The 26333-nt window shown below is 39.6% G+C and overlaps 1 protein-coding gene across 10 annotated transcripts in view; it reads right to left on the reverse strand.

Annotated features, from left to right (window-relative positions):
* Positions 1-26333, reverse strand: part of CPNE4 (copine 4) — a 506038-nt gene that overhangs the window by 60323 nt on the left and 419382 nt on the right. The window lies entirely within an intron of this gene.

A 26333-nucleotide genomic window follows, 5' to 3' on the forward strand; every position in this document is an offset into this window, starting at 1 on the left:
TTTTTTTTAGTAGAGATGGGGTTTCACCATGTTGGCCAGGATGGTCTCAATCTCTTGACCTCGTAATCTGCCTGCCTCGGACTCCTAAAGTGCTGGGATTACAGGCGTGAGCCACCACGCCTGCCCGGCCTTCCAGGACTATGTTAAATGGAAATGATGAGAGTGGGCATACTTGTCTTCTTCCTGATCTTAGAGAAGAAGCTTTTAATTTTTTTACTATTGAGTATGATGTTAGCTGTGAGCTTGTCATAGATGGTCTTTATTATATTAAGGTACATTTCTTCTATACCTAGTTTGTTGAGTGATTTTATCATGAAATTGTATTAAATTTTGTCAACCCAGAATAGCCAAAATGATCTTGAGAAAGAAGAATAAATCTGGTGGCATCACATTTCCTGATTTTAAAATACATTACAAAGCTACAATAATTAAAATATTGTTTATTGGCATAAAGATAGGCAAATAGACCAATAGAACAGAATAGAGAGGCCAAAACCAAAACTATTCATATATATTCAACTGAACTTTGAGAAGGGTGTCAATAATACACAATGGGGAAATAATAGCTCTTCAACAAATTGTGTTGGGAAAACTGGATATTCACATAAAAAATGAAATTAGACCTATACCTTATATCACACACAAAAATCAGCTCAAAATGGATTAAAGACTGAAACATAAAACTTGAAACTATAAAGCTCCTAGAAGAAAGAATGCATAAGGATAAAGTCTTGACATTGGTCTTGGCAATTATTTATTGGATATAATGGTAAAAGCACAGGTAATAAAAGCAAAAATAGATAGGTAGGACTACATCAAACTAAAAAGCTTCGGCACAGAAAGGAAATAATCAACAGAATTAACGGGCAACCTATGGAATGGCATAAAATATTTCTAAACCATGTATCTCATAAAGGTTTAATTGTCTAAATAAACAAGAAACTCCTACAACTTAACTTAATAGCAAAACAAACAAAAAACTCAATTAAAAAAATTGACATAAGACTTGGATAGGCATTTCTTATAGAAGGCATACAAATGGCCAACAGGTGTATACGAAGGTGCTTGGCATCATTAATTATCAGAAAAATGCAAATCAAACTCCAGTGAGATACCACCTTACACCTGCTAAGGTGGCTATTATTTTTTAAAATGTACACACACAAAAGATAACAAGTATTGGTGAGGATGTGGAGAAATTGGAACCTTCGTACATTGTTGTTGGGAATATAAAATGGTGGAGCAGCTATGGAAAACAATATGGAGGTTCTTCAAAAAATTTAAAATAGAATTACCATATGATTCAGCAATCCCACACTGGGGTGGAAATACAAAAGAAGTGAAATCAGCATCTTGAACAGGATGTCTGCACTCTCAGGTTCATTGCAGCATTGTTCACAATAGCTGAGGTATGGTAATAACTTAAATATTCATTGATGAATGAATGGATAAAGAAAATGTGGTGCATATACATACAATGAAATATTATTCAGCCTTAAAAAAGAAGGAAATACTGCCATTTGTGACAACAGGGACTGTGTTAGTGTGTTCTTACATCATTATACTTGAGCCTGGGTAATTTACAAAGAAAAGAGGTTTAGGTTGTCTCATGGTTCTGCAAGCTATACAGAAAGCATGGTGCTGCCATCTGCTTCTGGTGAGGGCCTCAGGAAGCTTGCAATCATGGTGCAAGGTGAAGGGGAGCCAGCATGTAACACGGTGAGAGTAGGAGCATGAGAGAGTGAGGGAGGAGGAGCCAGACTCTTTAACAACCAGCTCTTGTGTGAACTCAAAGCAATAACTCACTCATTACAGCAAGAAGGGCACCAAGCTATTCAGGAAGACTCCACCCCTATGACCCAAACACCTCCCACCAAGCCCCATCTCCAACATTGGGAATCACGTTTCAACATGAGATTTGGAAGGGATGAATATCCAAACCATATCAGGGGTGAGCGTGGAGAACATTATGTTAAGTGAACTAAACCAGTCATAGAAGGACAAATACTGCATGATTCCACTTAAATGAAGCATGTACAATAGTCAAACTGATAGAAGCAGAGAATACAATAGAGGTTGCCAAGGGCTGGAAGGTGGCGAACTGGGGAGTTGTTTAATAAGTATAAAGTTTTAGTCATGTTAGATGAATAAGTTCTAGAGAGGTAATATACAACATAGTGCTTACAGTGAACAGTATAGTATTGTGCACTTCACAATTTGTTAAGTGAGTAGATCTCATTTTAAGTGTTCTAACAAACAAACAAACAAACAAATAAATAAGTAAATTGATGCAAGGAAACTTTTGGAGGTGTTGGATATGTCAATCAGCTTGTGATGGTATCACAGGTGTCTGCGTATGTCAAAAGTCATCAAATTGTGCACATCAAGTATGTGCAATTCTTTACACACCAATTATATTTCAAAAAAGCTGTTAAAAATTAAGTAAAGCGGCCGGGCGCGGTGGCTCACGCCTGTAATCCCAGCACTTTGGGAGGCCGAGGCGGGCGGATCACGAGGTCAGGAGATCGAGACCATCCCGGCTAAAACGGTGAAACCCCGTCTCTACTAAAAATACAAAAAATTAGCCGGGCGTAGTGGCGGGCGCCTGTAGTCCCAGCTACTTGGGAGGCTGAGGCAGGAGAATGGCGTGAACCCGGGAGGCGGAGCTTGCAGTGAGCCGAGATCCCGCCACTGCACTCCAGCCTGGGCGACAGAGCGAGACTCCGTCTCAAAAAAAAAAAAAAAAAAAAAAAAAAAAAAATTAAGTAAAGCAAATTTTTTTCAATAATCTGGATGGGCCTGATACAATTAATTGAAAAGCCTTAAAAGCAGCACTGAGGCTTTTCTGAAGGATAAATTCTGCCTGTGGACAGGATCTTTAGCTCCTGCCCTAAAATTTCCAGTCTGCCCTTCCTGATGGCCTGATATACAGATTTTGGACTTGCCTAGCCAGCCCCCAACAATAGCCAATTCCTTGCAATAAATGTCTTAATATATGCACATCCTCATTGTTCTGTTTCTTGGGAGGAACTCTGACTGATATAACTTTCTTCACCTCTTCCCTGGTTTTCATGTAGTAACATTCTGAAACGAGTTTTCAGTGACACTCAATTGGTCCTCTCATACTAAAATGCCAACATTTATTGAACACTCACTTTGTCCCAGGTGTTGTTGTAAGCATTTGTCATGCTCTGACTCATTTAATCTTCACAGTAATCCTCTCAGTGAGACATTATTATTATCATCCCTACTGAACAGATGAAGAAACTAAGAACAGAGGGGTTAACCAACTACTGCTGTTATAGAATATCCAAGATCAGAAAACCAAACACTGCAGGTTCTCACTCATAAGTAGGAGTTGAACAATGAAGACACATGGACACAGGGAGGGGAACATCACACATCAGGGCCTGTTGTGGGGTGGGGGGATGCTAGGAGAGGGATAACATTAGGAGAAATACCTAATGTAGATGATGGGTTGATGGGTGCAGCAAACCACCATAGCATGTGTATACCTATGTAACAAAACTGCACGTTCTGCACATGTAACCCGGAACTTAAAGTATAATAATAATTAAAAAAAGAATATCCAGGGTGTTGAAAATATGACTGACTTTGACATCAGAGTTCAAATGATCTGAATCTGATTCAGTTCCTGGTGGGCAGAAACCAGCTGTCCAAACTGTGATCATCACATAACGTAACTGCTGCTGATCAGTGCACAATTCTCACAGTTAAAGGAAATATGTTCTTTTTCTCTTGGCTTTAAAATTTTTATTTTTTTATGTCACAACTTATCATTTTTCCAGGTAAAGTAGAAATCTCTGTCAAATTTCTCCTGGCTCCTTAGTCATACCATGTTCTAAGCTTCTATGTAATCCATTTATATTTGCTTTAACATATTGCTAATTACATGGTAATCACTGGCTTGTGAGTATATCCACCACTTGAAGGACTTCTGATCACTGAGATTTTTATCAAGGTAGCACAGTTTTGGGGCACAAGTAAGAACTCAGATAAATGTTTGATGAGCAAACAAAAGAGGCCTTTCTCCCTGAGTTGAGTCTATGACAATTCTCTGAGTGTTTGGCCCTGTCTCTGCACTGCAAGGGGAAGGGAAGGTATTGTAATAAACTGGTTAATTATTAAAGGAGGCAATTGAACTGAATAATATGCTTTAATGGTTGTTGACATGGGTTGTAGGCACAGGATCGAAGAGATGGGATTCTAGAAACAGCTTTAGGGATTGTAGAGGTTGCTGGGAGCTGGACAGCAGGAGACCTGAGTTCTATTTCAAGCTCTCAGGATAATGCTGTGAGACCTTGGGCAAGCTTCTCAACTCCTCCATACTTCAGTTTCCTACTCTATAAAATATGTGTCTGGAAATGAGAATTGGAATGAATGCTCTCTGAGATCCTGTCTAAAATTCTCCAGTTATGTGGTATTGCATCTTTATCTCTTTTTCAATCTTTGTTCCAAAGCCTGGGATAATTATATTAAAGCAATAAAATTGTTAACTATCAATACCTGATGAACAATACTCCCTTTGTTTTCTTTTGTTAGGTATCATTATATCCCTTTGACAATTAAAAGTCACTTGTTTATTGTCTCGTGGTGATCCTCACCAGAGGTCCATGAGATGGGAGGTTCCATTTTTTATAGATGATGATCCCGAAATACAATAAAGCAACTGAAGGTGATTTATTCCAAAACACAGAGCTAGCAAGAATTGAATTAGGCCGTGAATCTGGCTTTATTTCTTCACATCCTGGGCCCTTTTCACTATACCACATAGCTTCATAGTTTACTTCTGCTATGTACCTTTCCAATGGCACTTTTTCCTTTTTCCTTCTTTTGTTTTTTACCAGCTAATTCTACGATGTCCAACCACATGGTATAAATATACATGTTTTAAAATTTCTCTTTGATAATAGACACTCTTTAAAATTGTCCCCCCACCCCCCCGCCAAAAAAAAATTACCCAAAGTGGTCCATGGAGGAGGAGCCTCGCTGGGTTTACTCACAAAATGAATTTTAAATGCAGACCATCAAAATTAAAGGCCAATTGGGTCAGAAAGGTAAAAAGCAAACTGTGTTCTCATACCACTCAGTCTAGACCAGTCTTCTAACTGTAGCTTTTAGGAAGTCAAGCAATACTTTATCATTTTATGGAGCTCTTAGGCAAATACATATAATCATAATTAGGTCCACCAATTATTAGGGATTTATGAGAATTTGATCCATAATTTAGTATTTGGAATGATGTATTTCTTTAAAAATTCAGTGACAACATTTGACACAAAATTAGTTTAATGCTTTGTACAGGACTGTAAACATCTATGAAAATAATACCAAATATATATCTCAGCTTGTTTGGAGGTTGTGACTTGAATATGGGTAGATTTTGGCCAGTTGTGTACATGGGAAGAGGGGTCAAGTTCCCTTGATTATTGTCCCTTAATTTTATTGTCTTTTTCTCACTGTAGACTTGACAACAACCCTCTGACATCAACCTAGCTGCTAGGATGGGAGTTAAAAGAAAACCTTTCATTTACAACATGAACACTCTGATTTGGACTTCTGAATTTGGCAGTGCAGAATGCCAAATAGAATGAAATAGAACTCTTCCTACCAGAGGGTAGACCCTATAAGATGGCCATAAATAGGACCTAAATGAAGGAGAGAATTTCTTAAATCAAAATTACATAGATGTAATTCCAGAAGTGGTGATCTGGGCTGGGGCCTCAGTCATGTTCATCCCTTGTCTAGACTGGTGGGCAGGACTAGTGGAAATCTGTCTGTACAAGGGCCTGAGTATCTTCTGATGGACTCAACCTAAGGTGAGGTGAAAGTATGCTGGCAAGATGGGTCCAGGAAAAAAGAACTGGATGCTGGAGGGGTGAGGCACAGCTAAGTAAAGTCTGGTGACAATTACTCAGGTTTGTCCCCAGGCTCTGTCTCCACAGACTCATGTCTCAGTTCTAGGGAGGTGGCTATAAATACAAAGCCAGCTTTAAAGAGTGTCTTTTCCCCAAACAGCAAGGAATATAATGACATGGGTCAAGAGAACAGAGGAAGTGATTTTGATGAAACAAGAGCCCCAGGAATCCAGTTTTGGGCATCCTGAGGGTTGATCTATATCTCTATGCAGTTGGGTTGTTTCTTGGGGGCTGAGGGTGAAAGGATGGTAGAAGTACCAGCATCTGGGATGTCCAGCAGCCATAGATGGCATTGATATTCACACACTAAGGTATCCATGCACCAAGGCAACAGCAAAGAGAGGAAATGGTGCTGGAATTTTTGGGATCCATGTAACATGACTCTCCCTGGTTTATGGGTTAATGCTTCATGTGAGCTTCTAATACAATGACAGTGAAGAAGGGCCCTTAGCTATTATTAGCCTCAAGGGTAGTACAAACAGGAGATGATACATAGGAGAAGGGTATGGCATGATCCATGCCATGAAGTAGCCAAGTGACCTGTAGATGAATGTGTCCAAAGACCTGTTTGAAACTTGCAAGGAAATGATTGAAGGGTTAACTTTAAAAGGGGAGGGGAATCAGAAGTCTGCTTTGCTTGATGGAGCAAGACCAAGTAAAATGCAGGTCTTTCCACCAGTCTTTGTTTTAAGATCTATTATAAATATTGGGCATACCACCAGCTACAGGCCTCATAAATGAGTTTGTGCACAGTCATCCGCCACTCATTTTCCCTGCCTAGCCTATTCTCCCACTCTGACCCCGCCTCGAGAGGAAACGTGGAGCATCTAGGGCATAACATCTGTGTGGAGTGCTCTGTGCTGTCTTGGGGTTATACCACCTTCCTTATTAGCAGCATGTGTCCAGACTAATAAGGCTTCCTCTAATCCTGAAACTCAGACCATATTATTTAGTAGAAGGGGCATCTCAAAGCATAAACTTCTTTTACAGACTTTGTCGCACCATTTACCTCTATGTGCTCCTTATATCTTGCTCTCTATCTGATTCTAGACTCTCTGGCTGTGGACTTTGCTACTTTTTCTTTTTCTTCTAAATCAGTTCTCAGTTTACATTCTGCATTTTAATTAATGCACTACATTTTCATTAATGGGGCAAAACTTCCTTTTCCAAAATCAGAGAATTGGTTAAAGAAGTCACTACCTTCAGGAGAGAGAACACTTTGATGGTGAAAGGGAACTTGGTAGTGCTCTGGTATGGTGGAAACAGCAGCATTCTCGGGGTCATTCAGAATTCAATTCAAATCTCCTCTGTTTCACTGGACAACTAGGTAATCATCCTCATATCACTTTGCCTTTGGCTACCCAGTTCATTCATCTCTATGGTGGGAATTACTTTTTGTTCTATTTGCCAGGTCATTGCAAGGATTTATTATATGCACAAGCACACATATACACACACACGTTTTTTTATCAACTACAATAGACTAGGAATTGAGCTGGCAAAGAGAATATAAAAATGCAAGACAGTTTCATCCCTCAAGATGCTGATGATATAGTGCAGGTGATGGACGTGCAAATAAATAATAGTGATGCAGTGGAGGTGGCAAAAATGGAGGTTGCACCAAGGGTTGTCTGGGAGTGTTCACTGCAGATAGTCAGGGAAGGCTTCCAAGAGCAAATAAAAACCTGGTAGTACCTGGTAAACAACATATGCAAGTATAACATTTCTTTATCTTATTTATACAGAAGAACAAATTACTAATACCAGACCCTCTTCTAAGCATAAGGTAAGGACAGGTAGAGCAGGAAAATTTGCTGGGAGCCTGAAGGGACAACCGGATGGTGTAGAGATACTTTCTCTACTCTCTTGTTTACATGATAGCCTGCACAGAATTGGAATGTAATCTGTCCAGTTAAGGCTCTCTTCTTCCCTCAGATTACATGCCCCAGAGATGGTGCAAGTATCTCAAAGCACTTCTCTATAGGACTCGTGCTATGCTTTGGTGAATGCCCTAGGAGATGCGGGGGATGTTGTAGAGAATCAAGGACAGACCTGGGAAGGCACAGATTTGGGTCCCAGTGTACCAGCTGTGAGACGTTGGGCAGATCATTCTATTCCTCTGGGTCTCAGTCCTCATCTGTTAAAACACTAATTTGCATTGGAGGAACCACAATAAAAAGTTTTTATGTCTAAGAATTTAGTACACCTAAGAAGAGTTGTTAAATTTCAGATTTCCAGGACTTACCTCCAGAGATTCTGATTAACTTGTCTGGAGTGGGTTACAAGAATCTGCCTTTGAAGCAAGCAACTTGCTAATTTGGATGCATGTGGTCTCTGGACATATTCAGAAACACTACACAGAATACCCAGGAGTCTGTGGTTTGTGACTATGGTAGCAATTATGTCCTGGCTCCCACTGTGTTCTTCAATTCAACAGCAACAACAACAACAGAAAACCCATCCATAGAGAGAAAACAACAATCAAGGGCCATCCTGTTTCCTTAAGATAATTCAATGCAGTATTGCTGTAAGTAGGCAAATACAGTCCTAAAATGTTACTACACTCACAAAAGCCAGACTAAGAAATGCCCAGGAGGAGATGGAAGGGCAATGGGTATGTTGGCTTTATCTTGTCAGTTCACACATCCCTGCTCTTCTGGATTGCAGCCAAGCTAGGGGACATTCCACAAGAAATATGTCACTCTTGGAAGCTTTCATTGGAGATTTATGGCTTTGGGAGGCTTGGTTAGCTCAGATAAGCCTCAGAGGCTCCCAAATGCTTGTCCAAACCTTTTAACTTCACACCTCACTACTCCTTAGGAGGACTGAAACTCCCATGGTTGTGTGGACAGAGTAAAGAGACAGGCTTTGACAGTGATTTATGCCCCAGGCTTTCAATGAGAACTCTGTCTTCATTATCAAAGTCATTCTGCACTGGTTCAACCTGTACCACTCTCTTCTACCAAATTTACAGGTGTAATATCTATGTGAGAACCAGTTATTTTATTTGGGGACTGATGGGTGGTTGGATTCAGGAAACTTTATTATGTGAATTGCAAATATGAACACAATTCCTAGTTAATGCATAGATACTCAATAAGGCAGAATAGACCAGTTGGCTGTTGAGGTATGATGCATACTACTTTTAACATCTGATGAAGCACTGCTATAAAAAGTTCTGAAATTATAAGTATCTCTCCTTTACAATTTTTTTGGGTTTAGGACTCTCTGTCTCTATGACTTATATCTCCACCTGTCTGTATTTTCTAGACCTACTTTGGATGAGTTGGATCTGTTTCATAGCAGGAAGCAATCTTATTTGATGGTTTATTTTCACTCATTATCAAGTCTTTATTGAGTACCCACACTGTGTTGGGAAATGATATATGTGCAGTATATAGAAGAACAGCAAAAAAGATACATAAGTGCAATTTAAACAGCAATAAAGATGGGAAGATAGATGGACTAATCTCTATATAAATCTTACAGTCTAGTGGTAAAAATAGACATTAATTATACTTGGAAAAAATGAAAAATTAAAGTGGGCACCTAATAGGGACTCAATAAGTGTTGCTTGGATGAATGAGTGAGTGAACAAAAGCAAAATGTGATGGATTTTTTATGCAAGAATCTTGGAGCACTTTTCACAAATGCTAAGTAAGTAATAAATCTCTTCAAATGTTTTAGAGTATCAGTAGGAAGTGATATAGAAATCCATATTTTATTTAGAATTTAGGTTAGGTACATAATTTGTAACTTCATAACCTTACAACCCCAGGGTTATAAGACAGAAAGGCTGTGCTAGTTCCAGAGCTCAAGAGGCTGAGACACAGTATCTGCCATATGTGCTGTGAAACAAAACAGAAATCTGTCCACATCTCACATTGGAGAGACACCATGAGGAGACAGGCATTTTGAAGAAAGAGTCTCAGCATTCTGAAAAGATTTTCCTTTCAAATCCAATCAAGATTTACAAAAACAATTGTTCTGCATAGTCCTCAGTTGAAGAAGCATTGGTCAGAGAATGGCCATTACCTTTTTAAGATAGGATTCTTCATTTTCCAGGGGCTAAAGGCTGTCTTACCTGGAGAAAGAACTGGACTTAATATTCCTTAAATTCTTGTCCTATTCTTAAAATGATTTAGAAATCTAAGGATTTACCTTTTCTTTACTGGTGTCATTCCATCTATCAGTGGGATCACACTTGATCAACTTTGGAAGAGTAATTGCATCATACTTCTTATTAATAGAGCCCCACACTTCCAGATTTCTGTTCTATGTCACTGGATCCATTCTAGATGATAATGGCTCACTAAAGACAATTCTAACAGAGAGGGATTTTAGAAGGCAAACTCTAAAATCATTAATTTCTACTTAATATAGCTCTAACTCCAACAGATGTTGATCTTTCCACTGGAACATCAAACTAAACTTTTAAAATTGCAAAATCCTCATTTGATATGGAGGAAAGATTTCCTAACCTTATTGAAAAACATGAATTCCAGTTGCATGATGAGACCTGAGTAAATGCCTTTTGATTGACTGATTAGGGGTTGTGATGGTTAATACTGAGTGTCAACTTGATTGGGCTGAAGGATACAAAGTATTAATCCTGGGTGTATCTGTGAGAGTGTTGCTAAAGGAGATTAACATTTGAGTCAGTGGGCTGGGAAAGGCAGACCCACCCTTAGTCTGGGTGGGCACCATCTAATCAGCTGCCAGCAAATATAAAGCAGACAGGAAAACATGAAAAGAGAGACTGGCCTAGCATTCCAGCCTACATCTTTCTCCCATGTTGAATCCTTCCTGCCCTCGAACATCGGACTCCATGTTCTTCAGTTTTGGAACTCGGACTGGCTCTCCTTGCTCCTCAGCCTGCAGATGGCTGTTGTGGGACCTTGTGATTGGGTGAGTTAATACTTAATAAACTCCCCTTTATATATATATATCTAGTCTATTAGTTCTGTCCCTCTAGAGAATCCTGACTAATACAGGGGTGATATGTGCAATGTGGGTTCCAAGTCTTGGCAGTCAGAGGTCACAACTCCCCAATTTTCTTGTAAAGTACCCTGTATAGGTGACGCCTAAGAAGTACATACCTTTTGTCATGTTAACCTATTTGCTGCTAATACAGACTGCGTTTAAATTATTTCTGTGTGCCACTAAGTCATTGGCTAAGTCCTCTAAGTACATCTCATTTAATCCTACCAGTGTTGGTAACCACATTTTGAAGGACACTGAAGCCCAGGAATGCTAGGTAACTTTATTGAGATTATTAAGCTAGAAAGGGATGAAGTTAGAATTTAAATCTTATTCTCTTGCATGGCTCATTTATTCTTCTTTGAATGAATAGTTTTTGAGTGTCTGCTATGTTTTATGTAACTTTCTGTGCACTGATTATATGAAAGCTGAGACAGAATGCTATTTTATTTATTTATTTATTTAATAATTTTAACTTTTATTTTAGGTGCAGCTTTGTTACATGGGGTATGAATGATTCTGTGGTCCAGGTAGTGAGCATTGTACCTAATGAGTAGTTTTTCAGCCCTTACCCTCTTCCTTCTCTCTCTCTAGTAGTCTCCAGTGTGTATTGTTCCCATCTTATAATCTATGTATTTCACTATTTTTATAAAGTCAATCCACCCCAGCATTTACTAAGCCCTAGAGCATTCCATAGAATTATTTGGTCAGAGTCATTCATTATGGACTCATATTTGTTCTGCAGGCAATTCAGTGTGAAATATTTTAAACAGAGAAATGACATGATCAGAGTAGCAATTTAGAAATACCACTCAGGCTGTTAAGTAGCGAATGAATGAAGTGGGAAGGGAAATAGAAGTCCAATGAGAGTTTGAAGTAAATCTGTGACACTGGAAAGATTATAAAGATATTAAGGAAGAAAAAACTATAAGTCTCAATATCTATGTAGATGTTGGAGTTGAGGGAGAAGAAAAGGAGGAAGAAGAAATTAAAGATTACTCCCCAAACTTTTGGTTAACGTCATTGAACATACCATTCACCTACATGTGAATCACAGTAAGAACAGGTTTGAGGGCCAAGGAATAGTTTAATATTTGGCCATGAAAAGTCTCACATTCTTTGACTTCTAATAAGTACCATAAGTCTCTGAACCCATGACAGGTAATCATTGTTTCTTCTAGCAAAATGCCTGTGTCTCTGTTTCTAAATGAGCCATGCTACTCATGGTGGTTTATTGATTGCTGTGATTTGATGCCTGGAGGCAACCTTCCGTTGGATCCCTGAGGAGGAAAAGGCGCTTGAAGACCAGAAAAGAACAGATGATTCCATTTGTATAGCTTAATCAGTCTGCAAACCACAAATGGGCAATGTGGGATTTACTGACAGACAGGAGGAAGTCTTGGCACAGCCAGGAAACTTGATTACTATGTATTTCTAACTCATTTACTTGCTTCTCTTAATTATTGCCTAATGCAACCACCATAGGTGTTCAGGACTTGAAATTTTGTTTTAGAATAAGAGAACAATACAGATCCCAAAAGCATGGAGAAATTAGCTACTCCTAACCAATCATACATGAATGATCCACACAAAATAGTTTTGCTACTGCTATGTCCAAGCCAATTCTGGGTGTTTATAGTAGATTGGACTGACCACCCTCAGATAATGAAAAGACACTCAGACATCTAGCCAGATTCACACACGTGGTTCTGGACCCTCCGTTTTATCACTACTATTCGTCATGGTCCCTGCTCTGGTCTAGTGTCCACGACATTTCTTTGGATTACTTGGGCTGAATGTCTAGTTTATCCTTGGGCACAAAATCATCAGGACATTTTAGGGCCTTGCCAATCCTTGGGATTCTCTCAGTCTTGGCTCCACTGGGCAACCATCATATCTGACCTGGGTCTGGATCCTGGGTTCTCCTCACTGCAGAATTGGCTGCTGGCTGGGACCTTATGTAGACTTACTCCAGCCACCCTCTAAATGTCTGGAAACCAAGTTTAAGATAATACAATATTTCTCTTTTTTCCTGAAATTTTGTTTAGTTATTTGTGACGTGATTTATTTCAGTTCCCAGAAGCTTATTTTCTACATCACTTAGCCTTTCTGCATAGATTCAGCCATTTCTGGCCAATCTTTCCCTCACTGAGTTATGATGCTTAGTTATCTAGTGTGAGAAAAACAGCTTGGAAGTTCCTCGATGAAACAAGAAAACCAAAAATTTGTACTAAGCTGTTAGCCTAACATTGCTACCACTGAAACTCTGTTTGTCAAAGAGAAGCAATTCTCCTCCTCTAAACAATAATTATGACAGACAGACTTTTGGGTGGATCACTTTCCTGGGAGATAAAATGACTTGGTTCTTTGAGTCAGCCAGGAAGACATCCTATTCCTTCCACCGAGATGGAGTCAGACACACATTTGCAAGATGGACAAGCAGAGAGCTGAGATTTTGGCAGTGTTAAGCAGGGCCACTGACCTATCCCACCAGGCTTATTTCCCAAGTAATTGAACTTTTCTTCTCATTTCATCCCATCATTGGACAGACCAATAGATTTATTTGTCTTTGGAGAGATAAAACAGATCTTCTTTACCTGGAAGTGTAAACCCATCCATTCACTGATGGAAATGGCCCTCCTTTTAAAGTGGTCTCATCTATAACTACTTTGAGAGGCCAGCAACATTATTAGAACCTAATTAGAAATTTCTTCTGGCTATCATAACATTCAACGTATTTTCAAAGGTAGTTTTTGATAAATGGACCCAAGTTTCTATCTAAATCCATCTCCCACATAAAGGTTATCATTTTTGAAAAAGCACACATCGAAATGTATTAATCCATATAGTGGCAAAGCATTTTAAAAGTTCATTTCAAAGAGCATCAGTACTATGGGAGGTTAATAGGTATTAATGAAAAATTAAAAAGGGCCAGATCCTCAAATACATTTGGATTACCCTGAGATGATAGAAGTTAAACCGTTTTTGCTATTGCAGAAACTCTGAGAGCCTTTGAAATGACAATGTGCAATGCCTATTACTAGGAGGAGGTAAACCAGCCACCAAGGGCACAAAATTTAAGGAAGCAGTCATTCTTAGGGTATTACAAGTGCAGGGTTGCCGCTTGCATTAAGCTGACAGCAGCTGCTTCCTTAAATTTTGTATTCTATACATCTACTACATTGTCAATAATTGTTAAGATTAGGGCATAATATACAATCTTCCCCAACTTATTTGGCCAAGAAAATAACTTGTTTATGTATCTGAATTTAGGTAAAACTCATAGTGACATTAGTGTCTTGTGAAAGAAGTTTGAGAAATATTTTTTTCATTCAATTAATGCTATATTTTGAGTGCCTACTATGTATAAAATAATGGCAAGACACCGGTAATATGGAAATGAAAATGAAAACTATCCCTTTCCTTAAAAACTTGGAACACAGTAGGGGAAGTCAGTTCAAATAAACCAACTACACAATTTAATAAGTGCTATGCTAGTGGTGCATTTAATGTGGAGTACGGTGGGTTTGGAGTGGATAGCAATCTGACTGAGCCAGGAGTTTGAGGAAAGCCAGTGAAGGACTTACAGTAGAATTGAGTGGGGAAGCTGAGTTGTGAAGGATGAATGCAATGAAGCCTGAAGTATGACAGGATGTGGGTCTTCTAGGTACAAGGAGCAGCAAGTGTGTGCTAAATGCACTGAGATATGAGAACCCACAGTGTGCCTGGGGCACTGCACAGTGTTGGTTATGCCTGCTGAAATGGAGCCAAGGGGAGGAAGACAACTTTCATTGAAATCAACTGGCCTTAAGGAAAGGATACTCTAGGAGGTTGATAATAGTGGAGAACTGAGAGGAAGGGCAAGAACAGTGAAGGTCTGTATGAATATATGTATATAAACAACCTTCATAAACCAATGTGTGACTAGAAGGGTATAGTAAACACATAATAAGAATCAACAGAACTAGGAAGAAGTCTAAAATCCCTACCATAGCTTGTAGACCCCTGATGGTCTCTGCCTACTTCTCTAGCCTCATTCCACAACACTCCCCCACCTCCCTGACACCCCCATTTTCCTTCTCACTGTCAGGCTTCAACCACACAGGCATTCTTTCCTACTTATGTCAGGGCCTTGGCACATGCTCTTCCTTCTGCCTGGAATGCTTTTCTCTCCAACTTTTTCTAGATACTCCTCCTCCAATTTCAGATATCAGCCCATATGTTCCTTCCTCAGGTATTCAGGCTAGATCTAGCTTGTTATAAACTTTATTCTATCCTTGTACTTTTCCTTCATTGCACAGTTGGGATCATATGTTTTCATGATTACTTGATTAATGTATATTTACCCCCAAAACCGTAAGCTAGCTCCATGGGGCTGCAACCACTTCTATTTAACTTACAATTTTATTCCCAACAGCTAACAAGGAACTTTGTATATTTTAGGTGCTTTACAAGTAATTGTTGAATGAACGACATGGTTGGTTAGCTATCCACCAAATATTTGTGCTTTCCAGTGTAGGGTTATTGATGGGTGGGTACATTTCCTAGCCATTTGACTAGACACCGTCAAGGGAATGTGATGTGTTTCACCTCTGGACTAAAGTAGTTAGGAATGAGGTGTGCTCTCTCCATTCTCTTTTCCTATCCACCAGCTGGAGGTGTGAGACTTTAGGCTTTAGAAGAAGGTGGGATGATAAAGACACAGGTGTTTAAAACCAGGATGCCTGAATCATTGTATGAAGACTGCCCAAGAAAAACTTGATTAGATTTTTTTGACTAAGAAACACATCTTCATTTTACTAAGCCACTGAGAATTTAGTTTTTAAAAAATACATGTTAAATGATACATGTAAGGGAATAATGAAAGATTAAAATACAATCTAGATGTGATTGGAATGGAGCTGGTTCTCTAGCCCACATTAGCTAAGAATTTTCAAGAATATTTCATAAAAACAAGCTAGGAATTAATATAAACATTATTGTTGCCATATTTGTGTTTGTTCAGGTTGACCATATAGTAAAATGGCTATAGCTTTCATTCCAGACCAGGAGTTTTATTATTCTCCCCTCATCTAGTTGATATAAGAGCCCCTACTGGACTGTTACAAATGAACTCTTGGGCTGCATGGACGATATCCAACTTTTACAGCCAAGATTTTCATGCTCAGAATGAGTAAAGTAGGTTTGCATAATTCCTTTAAGAATAATGTTTTACCAAGATTCGTTTTTGTTTGAGTGTGTAATGTATTACACTAGTATAATACTTCCACCAAACAAACTTCCCCCTCTCCTTTCCTTTTTCCCTCCTTTCACAAATATTTTTTGAATACTAACCATGGGCCAGGTACTGTGCTAGTCACTGTAGATAAAATGATGAACAAGGCAGCCATTGCTTTTTCCATCACAAAGCCTATAATCTAGCAAGAAACACAGATAAGTAACTAAGCAACTACAATGCAGCATTGTAAATGCTATCTTAGAGAGTCTTCAGGGTGCTACAGGAACCCTTTGCAGGGCCAGTGAAGCAGATACTATCAATATGTTCTACTCTGTCACATTGAATTCCTTTATCATTTTGAGGCACACCAGAGTTCCTGATGTCTTTTCTCTCTCAACACTCAGCACCTCAGCCTCTTTGTTGGAGGGCTGTCCTGAGACTGCTAGATTGTTCTCCTTGAGTGTGCAGTACTGGAAGTGCTTGGAGAAATCCTTACCAGTGACTGACACACAGCAAGGTTTAAATGTTGTTCATTGAGACAACTGAGATGTGACTACACTGTTTTTAGATATCCCTGGCAGGATTGGGCCAAAATTCTCCTGAGATTTTGCTTTATATCCTACTTTTGCTTGTCTCCTTCTCCTCTCTGGTCCTAATTTTCCACTCTCCTATCCGTTATTTCTGGAAACACTTTCACATGAATCCTTATTTCAGGGTTGCTTCTGGAGGACCTGACCTAAGATTGGCATCTTACTCAGTCCAGAAGGTCAGGGAAGACTTCTTGGAAGACATGCCATCTAAAACAATGACTGATGGAGGAATGGAATCATCCAAGTGTACGGGGAGTGGATGGAAGACAAGAGCATTCTAGGTAGGTGAACAGGACAATTCAAAGGCTCCTCCTGGAGAAGCCACAGTTGGATGCAGGTTATCTCTTTAGAATCCACCTTAATTTTCCATTTCAGCAAGTTTTATGGTGAGCTCACATTTTCTTTAACCTTTATGTCCGTGATATAAAATTCCTGTTTTCTTATAATCAGCATTTATCAGGAGTCTTTTTTTAAAAAACAGAAAACAAAACGTATTTTTTCCTCATTTACTAATAGATTCACTGCCTATAACAGTGTGAATAATGTGTTGGCCAAAGGAGAATGAGATAGCCCATTATACTTATTGATATAAATTATCCTTGATGAAGAAAGTCCATGTTCATCAATGCTGATATGACTGTGTCATCAATTTAATAGCTGAATGCTAAGGACCATTAAATTTATCACTATTTGCTATACCCTTATTTATAATAGTGCCCAAGAGTAATATGTAATTAACTTCATGACTGATTGACAAAGTAAACTACAGGGTAATCAATCATATTGTATAAATGCTTGTCATTGGGCCACATGTGGAATATGGAGGTTGACTTGTGATGTTTCAGCACTTCCCTGTCTTGATTGTTGCTCTTGGCTGTTTAGATCTAAAGTCCCTATAAGTGTTGGACTTACTTATTTAAATAAGCTGGTTGCTACACCTTGAGATTCAGTCCAATCTTGCTGTCTAGCATGATCCTTAACCGATGTCCTTTGTGTGGGCATATGGAGGACCTCTCCTTTCCTCTTGATCTAGAATGTCTTTTTTTTTTTTAGGTCTTCCCCATTCATAATTGTTTTCCTTTGCATACCAGCCCCTGCTTTCACTTAGACTTTCTTCTGACATTTGTATTTAAAACTAGCAATTTGCACTCTCCTGCAATAGTTTCCCCTTACTGAAGTCATTTTGTAACTCTTCCTCCTCTCTCAGCTTGCCAGAAATGAGAAATGCCTATAAACTTCACCATGAGCAAGGATAAGTGAGCCCAAGTCACGACAAATAAGCCCAAGTCACGGTAAATGAGCCCAAGTCAGGTTTTCTCTCCAAGTATGGACTGTTTTGCAAAGCTTACAGTAACCCAGAAGGGTCAGCTTCTTTGCCTGTGATAGCTATTTGTAACTTTAGAAACTCCAGGTTTTGTGTGACCAAAAGGAAGACTAAGATAACTGTCATAATTCATTCCAGGAATAAAAATGGGCTGGGTGCAGTGGCTCATGCCTATAATCTCAGCACTTTGGGAGGCCAAGGCAGGCAGATCACTTGAGGTCAGGAGTTCAAGACCAGCCTGGCCAACATGGTGAAACCCCATGTCTACTAGAAATATGAAAATTAGCCAGGCGTGGTGGCGGGCACCTGTAATCCCAGCTACTCAGGAGGCTGAGGCAGGAGAATCACTTGAATCCAGGAGGTGGAGGTTGCAGTGAGCTGAGATTGAGCCACTGCACTTCAGCCTTGGCAACAGAGTGGGACTGTGTGTCAAAAAAAAAATACTAGTGTTTCTTTTGTGTGAATATTGAAGCTACTATGCAATAATCTAACATGGTTGCACATGGCAATTGGGCCTCTGTGGTTAGGTAAGGTTTTCCCTGAAGTGAGGAGGCCTTAATTCACATATTTGTCATGGAAGAGGAGTCAGATCCATAGAGTGGTGAAAGAGAGAATCCTGTACCTCTCTCTTGGCATCTCTCTCTTAGATCTAGACTAGGATGGCAAATACCGGGCACAGGCATTATCATTCATCCCCCGATTACTCCCTCTTTATCCTCTTATCTTCATCCATGCAAGACATCACTAATCCATCATATAATTTCCTCACTGAGCTGAGATAAAACCTACGTTAGACTCCTCCTCAATCCAGCATAGCAGTTAGTTGTTGTCTATTGATCACAGCTGAAAAATAAAATTAAAACCTATTTCCTATTGTTGGTCTCCAGTCTGCTGAGTCAGGAGGCATGTATGTCTAGAACACACTGATGGTAGCATGTGTGCTAGGAGGAAAAGAACTACCTGAATGTCATTACCTTAGTCAATGCTGCAGAACTGCAAGCCCTGAAGAGGAAGTCGTATCTTGTAAACAAGATCATTCTAGTTTCATACAACTCCTAGATTTATTTTCTCTGTGTTATCTTCTGTCTTTCAGAGACATTTGGTTTGAATGATCTGGTCTTGTCACAGCTTGGCCACAGAGTACCCAGAGGAGTCCATGGTTGGGTCAGAGTTAAGTGGGAAGTTGAGTTACCTTGAAAACAGAGTACATCTGAGGCTGCTAATTAGTGAATAGTTTTAGCAATTCCAGGTTCTATAGTTGAGCTTCTTTTTCTTACCAGAGGTTCTTCCTCCTACTGACAACCTTAGTGAGCCTAAGTGAGATTACCATCTCATCTCTGTTTTTCACAAAACCATACATTTTTCATGGCAAGTCCTTCTAGTTTCTTGTGGCTTCACTAAAGCCCCAAGATCAGGTAGCAGGTACCAAAGTCTTCTGATGACTCAAGACCCCAACATCCTATGGATAAAATGGTGATGATTTTCTCAGCATGAGTTTCCAAGAGAGCCACAGGAATCTTGCCTTCTTTTCTTTCTGTCTTTACCTAGAAGTTTAGTTTTTATGATGCTCTCTGCAGCTTTGATCTATAAAGAGGGGAAAATTGGCAAATATGAGCCTTGCAAAACGTTGTTCATATTTGCAAATAACTACCTTGGCAGGCAGGTATGTGCTCTGTAAACCTAAGTATTGCTTTGGCATGTGAGTCAAAAGGGAATTTGTAAGCAACCTTTAGGCAGCTGGTCTTGGAGAATACAGCTTGGCCTGTAACCTAGTTCAGCTGAAAAATTTGGACACCTCATCACTGCTAAACAGACCATCACTCCCCTTTGTGTCTTTCTGGTCATGTACAGGTCATTTATTTGGCAGGTTCTGTCTAACTCCATTAATTGATGGCATCCAATTCATCCTTTGGCCCTGAGTCAGGATTCTACAAGATATTTTTTTAAGCCCAAACATCATTCCAACCAAAAAAAGGGGTACCAAAGAACAGTATTTAAGATGTATTTTTAAACTTAATTAAGAGTTTGGTGGATTGTCATTTGGCCCAGTGGCTGGCCTGGCACTTGTTTGGATTCCTCACCAGCCCCGCATAGAGAAACATGAATCCACCTTTAGGCAAATGAGTTGTCTTGAGGATTTTATTGGTTTGTAGCCCAAGTCAGTGGGTAAGGGGTGGATCAAAAGGCAGAGAAATAAAAGACAGTGAGACTTACTGTGAAGGTATAGAATCCATTCTGCACATGTCTATACTATTGTTTTGTGATCTCATTCATTAAACCCAACATGTCCCCAGCATGTGCTCAGTAGGCTGTTAGGAAACATACTATGTACAAATGAGTTTAAAATCATGGTCACTGCCCTCAAGAAACCTGTCAAACAGCAGAGAAGATAAATATATGCTGGAAGAAGGTGAAAACCAAAGTGAAATTATGTGATAACTTACTAGGAACTGCAGAGAAAGGTTTGAGTGAAAGCAAAGGAGAGGGGTGATTTGTTGTGCATCCTTATTGGACATGAGAACAGTGTCTGATACTCATGTGTCTCTTTAACTTGTGCCAGGAAAAAAAGTAGGTGTTTAATAAATGCTTAATGGATGTAATTGAGAGACAATATAGACCATTTCCTGTAGGGAGTCGTTTTTGAAGTAGGTCTGAAAGGAAATTTGGACTTGGGGTTGACAGAAGAAGTAGGAGAAAATTCTATGTAGGAAACTGAAGGAGATTAGACATGAGGTGGGGTCAGGGGCAGCCTGCTGAAGCAGAAGGGAAGGACAGAGAATGGTGAAAAAGAACCAATGTATATGGCATTCATCCTTAGGTAGGGCTTCCTCCCAGATTTGACCCTCACTCAGAACTAACTAGAGATACAATAGTTACCTTGTTCTTAATACTTGTTCTTAATGTCTTAATACCTTGTTCAAGATGTCTTAATATCTTGTTTTTAATACTCTTGTTCTTAGCCAAGTTATGGGTATACTGCATTGTTCTCAGGGAAAATAGAGTCTCCCTGGGGTCTTAGGAAGCTCACACAAGTATCCTAGATCACTATTCTTAAACTTTAGTATGCACATAAATCACCTGGGGGGCTTGTTAAAACACAGATTTCTGGACCCACCCACAAAGTTTGTGATTCAGTAAGTTTGGGGTAAGGCCTGAGGATCTGCATTTTGAACAATCTCAGATGACGATATGCTATTCCTAGGACCATGGTTTGAGAACCACTGTCTTAGATAAATATACAGTTTCCTTTCCCTCATATTTGCACTGTTTACCAAGACATGGAGAGAATCAAATACCGTAAGATTGCTGTGATGAGCAGAGCCTTTAACACTGTTGTAAATACAGTTTAGGTCTCCAGCTCATAGAAAAGCCCTGGTCTCATGGAATGTATCTAAAGCACTCAGTTCTGCAATAGATTATCACAGAAAATAATACCATAGCAATACCATTAGTTAAATAAAATGCAACCTTGAACGTGTGTACTTCATTCTAACAGATGATGCTTAGAAGTTATGCCACCACTACACTTTGATAAAGTAAATTGTATTTTAACACATTAGGAACCTCACTAATTGAAGAACCCTTAGTCAATGAATAATAGAGTGGTATAGAATGAATTGTAAAATAATAACATGGTACATAAAAGTGTTCTTAAAACCTTTGTTTATGTGCTTTTTGAGTTGGAATTTATTTTTATAGATCATAAGTTTTTTATAGGAAGAGAAGTTTGGTTTATATAGGCATCTCAGGCTCTATTATGACACTGACTTTGAACACTTTACTGGGCAGTCTAGGCTTTAGAACATCTGCATGCCCATAATCCCAGCTACTCAGGAGGCTGAGAGGCAGCAGAATTGCTTGAACCTTGGAGGTGGAGGTTGCGGTGAGCTGAGATGGCGCCACTGCACTCCAGCCTGGGCAACAAGAGCAAAACCCCATCTCTCTCTCTCACACACACACACACACACACACACACACACACACACGCACACACACACACACACACACAAAAGAACATTTGCTACTCCACCCCCGCCACAGCCCCCTTCTGAGGGTTTCTCTCCATATAACTTGCTATAATGGTATCTCATGCCCATGCTCCCCTGGCCACAGATGAAAGACGAGAAATGGGTACCTTGTTTAAGGACAACCAAGCTGTACATTGACCAGAGCCTATGAGGTGACTTGATGTAGAAGTTTTACTCATCATAAACAATGGAGACTAACTGAAACAATCAGAACTTGAGACAGAGAAAAAGAATAAAGCAGTTAGCTGTGGGAGTAGGAGCAAGAGAATAGTGAAAACAATGTGATAGCTGAGTTGCCATAATGGTATAGCATGAGAATAAATGCGAACCTCTGCTGCCTAGGAGGTTAACCAGATGACCCAGTTGTTAGGGCTGCTCTGAGTTCTGAAAGATTTTTCTGAGTCTTGAGCTATTTAATAAGGACTGTGAGCCCTGGCTGTTCAGCTCTTCCAGAAATCCTGGGAGTGTGGCCAGATTTCCTGTCTTTCCAATTTTTTCAGGTGAATTCTTGCAAAATCTTCCCAAACTAGAGGTAACCCAAATTCCTCTGGATAAAAATAGCCTAAGCAACATAAACTCCTATGAAAAGTTCCTAGTGACAGATTTGGCACACAGGTGATGCTTCTTGGTCCCATTACCCTCAAACCTTCATTTCAGGTCTCTGAGCTAAGGTTTTCTGTGTGCTGAATTGGTATAGTATTTCTCTCCTCCTCTTGTTGATCCCTCCCAACCAATGAATCAGTATGGTAAAATCTGTACAGCTTCGAATTAATCAGAACTGAAGGCACATAAAAATGCAAGGAATTAAAGAACAGACAGAACATAAAAGAAAAAGGTATAGAGTGAGAGTCAAAGAGATCAGCTCTCACCACAAAGGAAAGCTCAAAGCCTTTGATGAACTGCACCTATAAATAACTATGAGCTCTGGCAATCCCTGTAAGGCTTTGGCCAAATGGTTCAGGTCCATCGGGGATAATGAGGGCTAGGGACATGCTGCTAACAAGCACAGCTGTAACATAGGCTAGAGGACAATGTGCTTCTGATTGTCACTTGTATGATGTAGATTTATAGGACCTGAGCTCTGTTCTGATGAATGCCCCAAGGAAGCTGGTATTCTTTGATTCATTAAACGGGAACTTACCTTGCCTTTTCTCTATTTGGTCTTAGGAATCATATCTTAGGTTAAGTGGTAATTTGGAGATCATTCCACTCTTACCCTCTAATTTTAAGGATCAGAAAACTAAGGTTGTGGAAGGGGAGATTACTTAACCAACACCACACAATTTATTCATGGTAGTATTGCTTTTAAAGCCTTGCTCTACCTGCTCTTAGCTCAGATGCAGTAAAAAATTCATCTTACTGACTTATTCAGTCACTTATTTTGTGGGGCTGTTTCTAATAGCTCTAATGCTGTCACATCCCTTTCTTATTTGATCCCCCCAACAACCCAGGCAGATGGGTAGAGATCTTTTCATTTTACAGGTGAAGAAGCTAAAGATCGGAGGTGAGGCCTCTTTTTTGGAAACTCAGATACTCTGATTTCTAATACAGACGCCTTTTCAATAAATAATTTATTTGAAAACAATGTGTAGACTAAAATTTTCAATAGAAATGCTGATCTTTATCATAACCCTCACTTTCTTCCCATGCCACACTCCCTGTGCTATAGCAGAGGCCCATCCTTAAGGACAAAGTCTTTTTTGTATCTTCAGTTTTCTGCACAACATGTTGCTATTATAGGAATTCTCCTCAAATTAAGTCATAATTTCCACTGGGTTATATACGGGTTCCATTTGGAAGGTGGGAACTTTCTTTATTTCCAACAAACCATTTTCTCCATGGAGTGAAAGACTTTAATTCTGAGTCTTTGCTTGGTCACTGTGACCATTTTCTTCAGAGGGTTCTGTTTGACACCAATATTAACTCACCATCAGTCAAGTCATTCATTCATTCATTAATTTCTTCATTCATACATACTCCATTTCCAGAGCAGATGTGTGACAGATACTGTGCTAAATGCTGAAGACACACAGATAACAAGATGTGGTACCTGTTTTCCAGAAACTTACAATTTAGTGTGTATGGGGAGGTGAGCTCAGGGTATGGGAGACATCACTTTGGAACTGGGTATAAGATAACTACTGGAGATACAGGGAATGTCTCAAGAAATTCCTAGTGGGAGACTTTGGCTGACTACCCAAGGTGTGGGGGAGTGAATACTGGGGTAGTTTGGGAAGGCAGAGGCAGCTGTAAAAGCATAGAAAGGGATGCTTAACTCATTTTAAATGTATTTTTAATTGACAAATAATAATTGTGTACATTTAGGAGGTATATTGTGATAGTTTGATCTATGTATACATTGTAGAAAGACTCAATCAAGCTAAGCAACATATTCATCACCTCACCAACTTATGACTTTTTTGTGGGGAGAATATTACAAATCTATTCTTTTAGCAATTTTGAAGTATACAACACATTATTATTATTAACTGTGGACACAACTCATTTTCTTGCTTACTATCCTTTGGGCTACTGGAAATTGTATTAGTCCTTCAGTTTTCTACCTGTATGTTCCACAGTATCGGGGCTTTCTTGCAGCATTTCTAGGATATTTATGGAAAGAAAGTACAGTTTAAGGTAGAATGTGTTTTCTCTGCATTTGTTCTGATCTCCCAGAAACCTGTTCCATTACCACTCAAGATTAGGTGTTCAAGCCTGAAGTATTTGTTAGAGAAGGCATTTCACAATGCCTGGCATATCAATCAAAGCCATGTGTGTTCATACAGCATACACTGTTGAGGTGGGAGAAGCAGAGGTCCCCATTCCCAAGGAGAGAGACAGCATTGGCCCATGACTACCGGCTGACTGAACACCATAGAGTGGTTCATATTTAAAGGCTTGTGTGTAACCCAAGGTTTAAGGACAACCTGTATTCCTGGGGTGTTAGTCTAGGGATATTGTGGAAGGTTTTATGGAAAGCAATATGATGTGAGCTTTGAAGAACAGTGTGGCAGGTGAACAGGTAAAAAGCATTGTGGACAAACTTGTAAAGTTGTTGCCCATAGAGTAGGAGGAAAATGACCTGGTCAAGCAGAGAGCTTGCAAGGGAGCAATTGTTGGGGAAGGGGATATGATTGTAGGTAAAATAGGGAGGCAGATAAGGATATCTAGTTTGAAGACCTTAGGAAAGGAAAATCACAAAGGACTGGAAAAAGCCTAAATCCCCATGATGGTGTACAAGGTCTCACATGATTAAGCCCACCATTTTCTTGTGAATGAGAGGAAGCTGTGTAGCAGGGAGAGCTCTGAAAGCCTGTGTAATTACACGATGAAGCTGACAACTGGACAAATAGGGAAGGTCCTGGCACAGGACTTAGACAAGTGTTTCTGGTTGTCTTTCTGTGACATTTGCAGAGTCAGTCAGCATCCCTCAGCTGTAAAAACTATAATATGACAGGTATTATAATATAGGGAGAGACATGAAGGGCGGTAAGAGAAGATAATTCACAATTATTGAACTCTGGGCTTTGTGTGCGGTGAAATGCACACACGATTCCATTCAACTCTCCAACCAATGAACTCTTCATTTTACAGGATCAGAGTAGCTAAGTAACTTTTCCAAGTTCATTGGCTTGAAAAATGTTTGTTCAAACAAAGGTGTGCCTGATTTCTAAGCCCGTCCTATTTCATCATGTCAGTTTTGCCCATCCTAGCCTAATAATAAGAGTCACTTTGGCGTATTTATTACACACTTAGATTCCAAAGCCCTTGCCAAGACTTAGAATAAGAATTTTAAGTGAGGTGCCTAGGAATCTGCATGTTTAATATACACCCTAAATGGTTAATACGATCAAGTCATTTTGGGGAATCCCTGCAATGTGTCACACTGCCTTGAGAAAAGGCATAAGGTTAGAGAGGAAAGGGGAGGGATGGAAAGAGATTAAGGAGGTAGAATTGACAGGACTTGACTGATTGCAGGAGAAGTGAAGCCTTCAGTCTCTGATTAGCATTTCTGTCTGAAGTTTTGTAAGCGTAAACCCCTGCCTAGCAACAAAATCCTCCTCTAATTGGGCAAAAGTAGTGAGTGGCCATTCTGCCAGGCTCTCTCGGGTGTGAGCATCCCAGGAGAGTTTTAGCCAGGACACAGCAGCATGCTAGTGTGCTGCTCTGGTTGCATATGTTGGAGATGATTTTCATAACACTCATAGGTAAAAAGAAATGTAAAAGGTTTCTGGGAGAGAAGCCAACTATCAT

This window comes from Homo sapiens, chromosome 3, assembly GCF_000001405.40.
Source record: "Homo sapiens chromosome 3, GRCh38.p14 Primary Assembly".
Taxonomy (NCBI): Eukaryota; Metazoa; Chordata; class Mammalia; order Primates; family Hominidae; genus Homo; species Homo sapiens.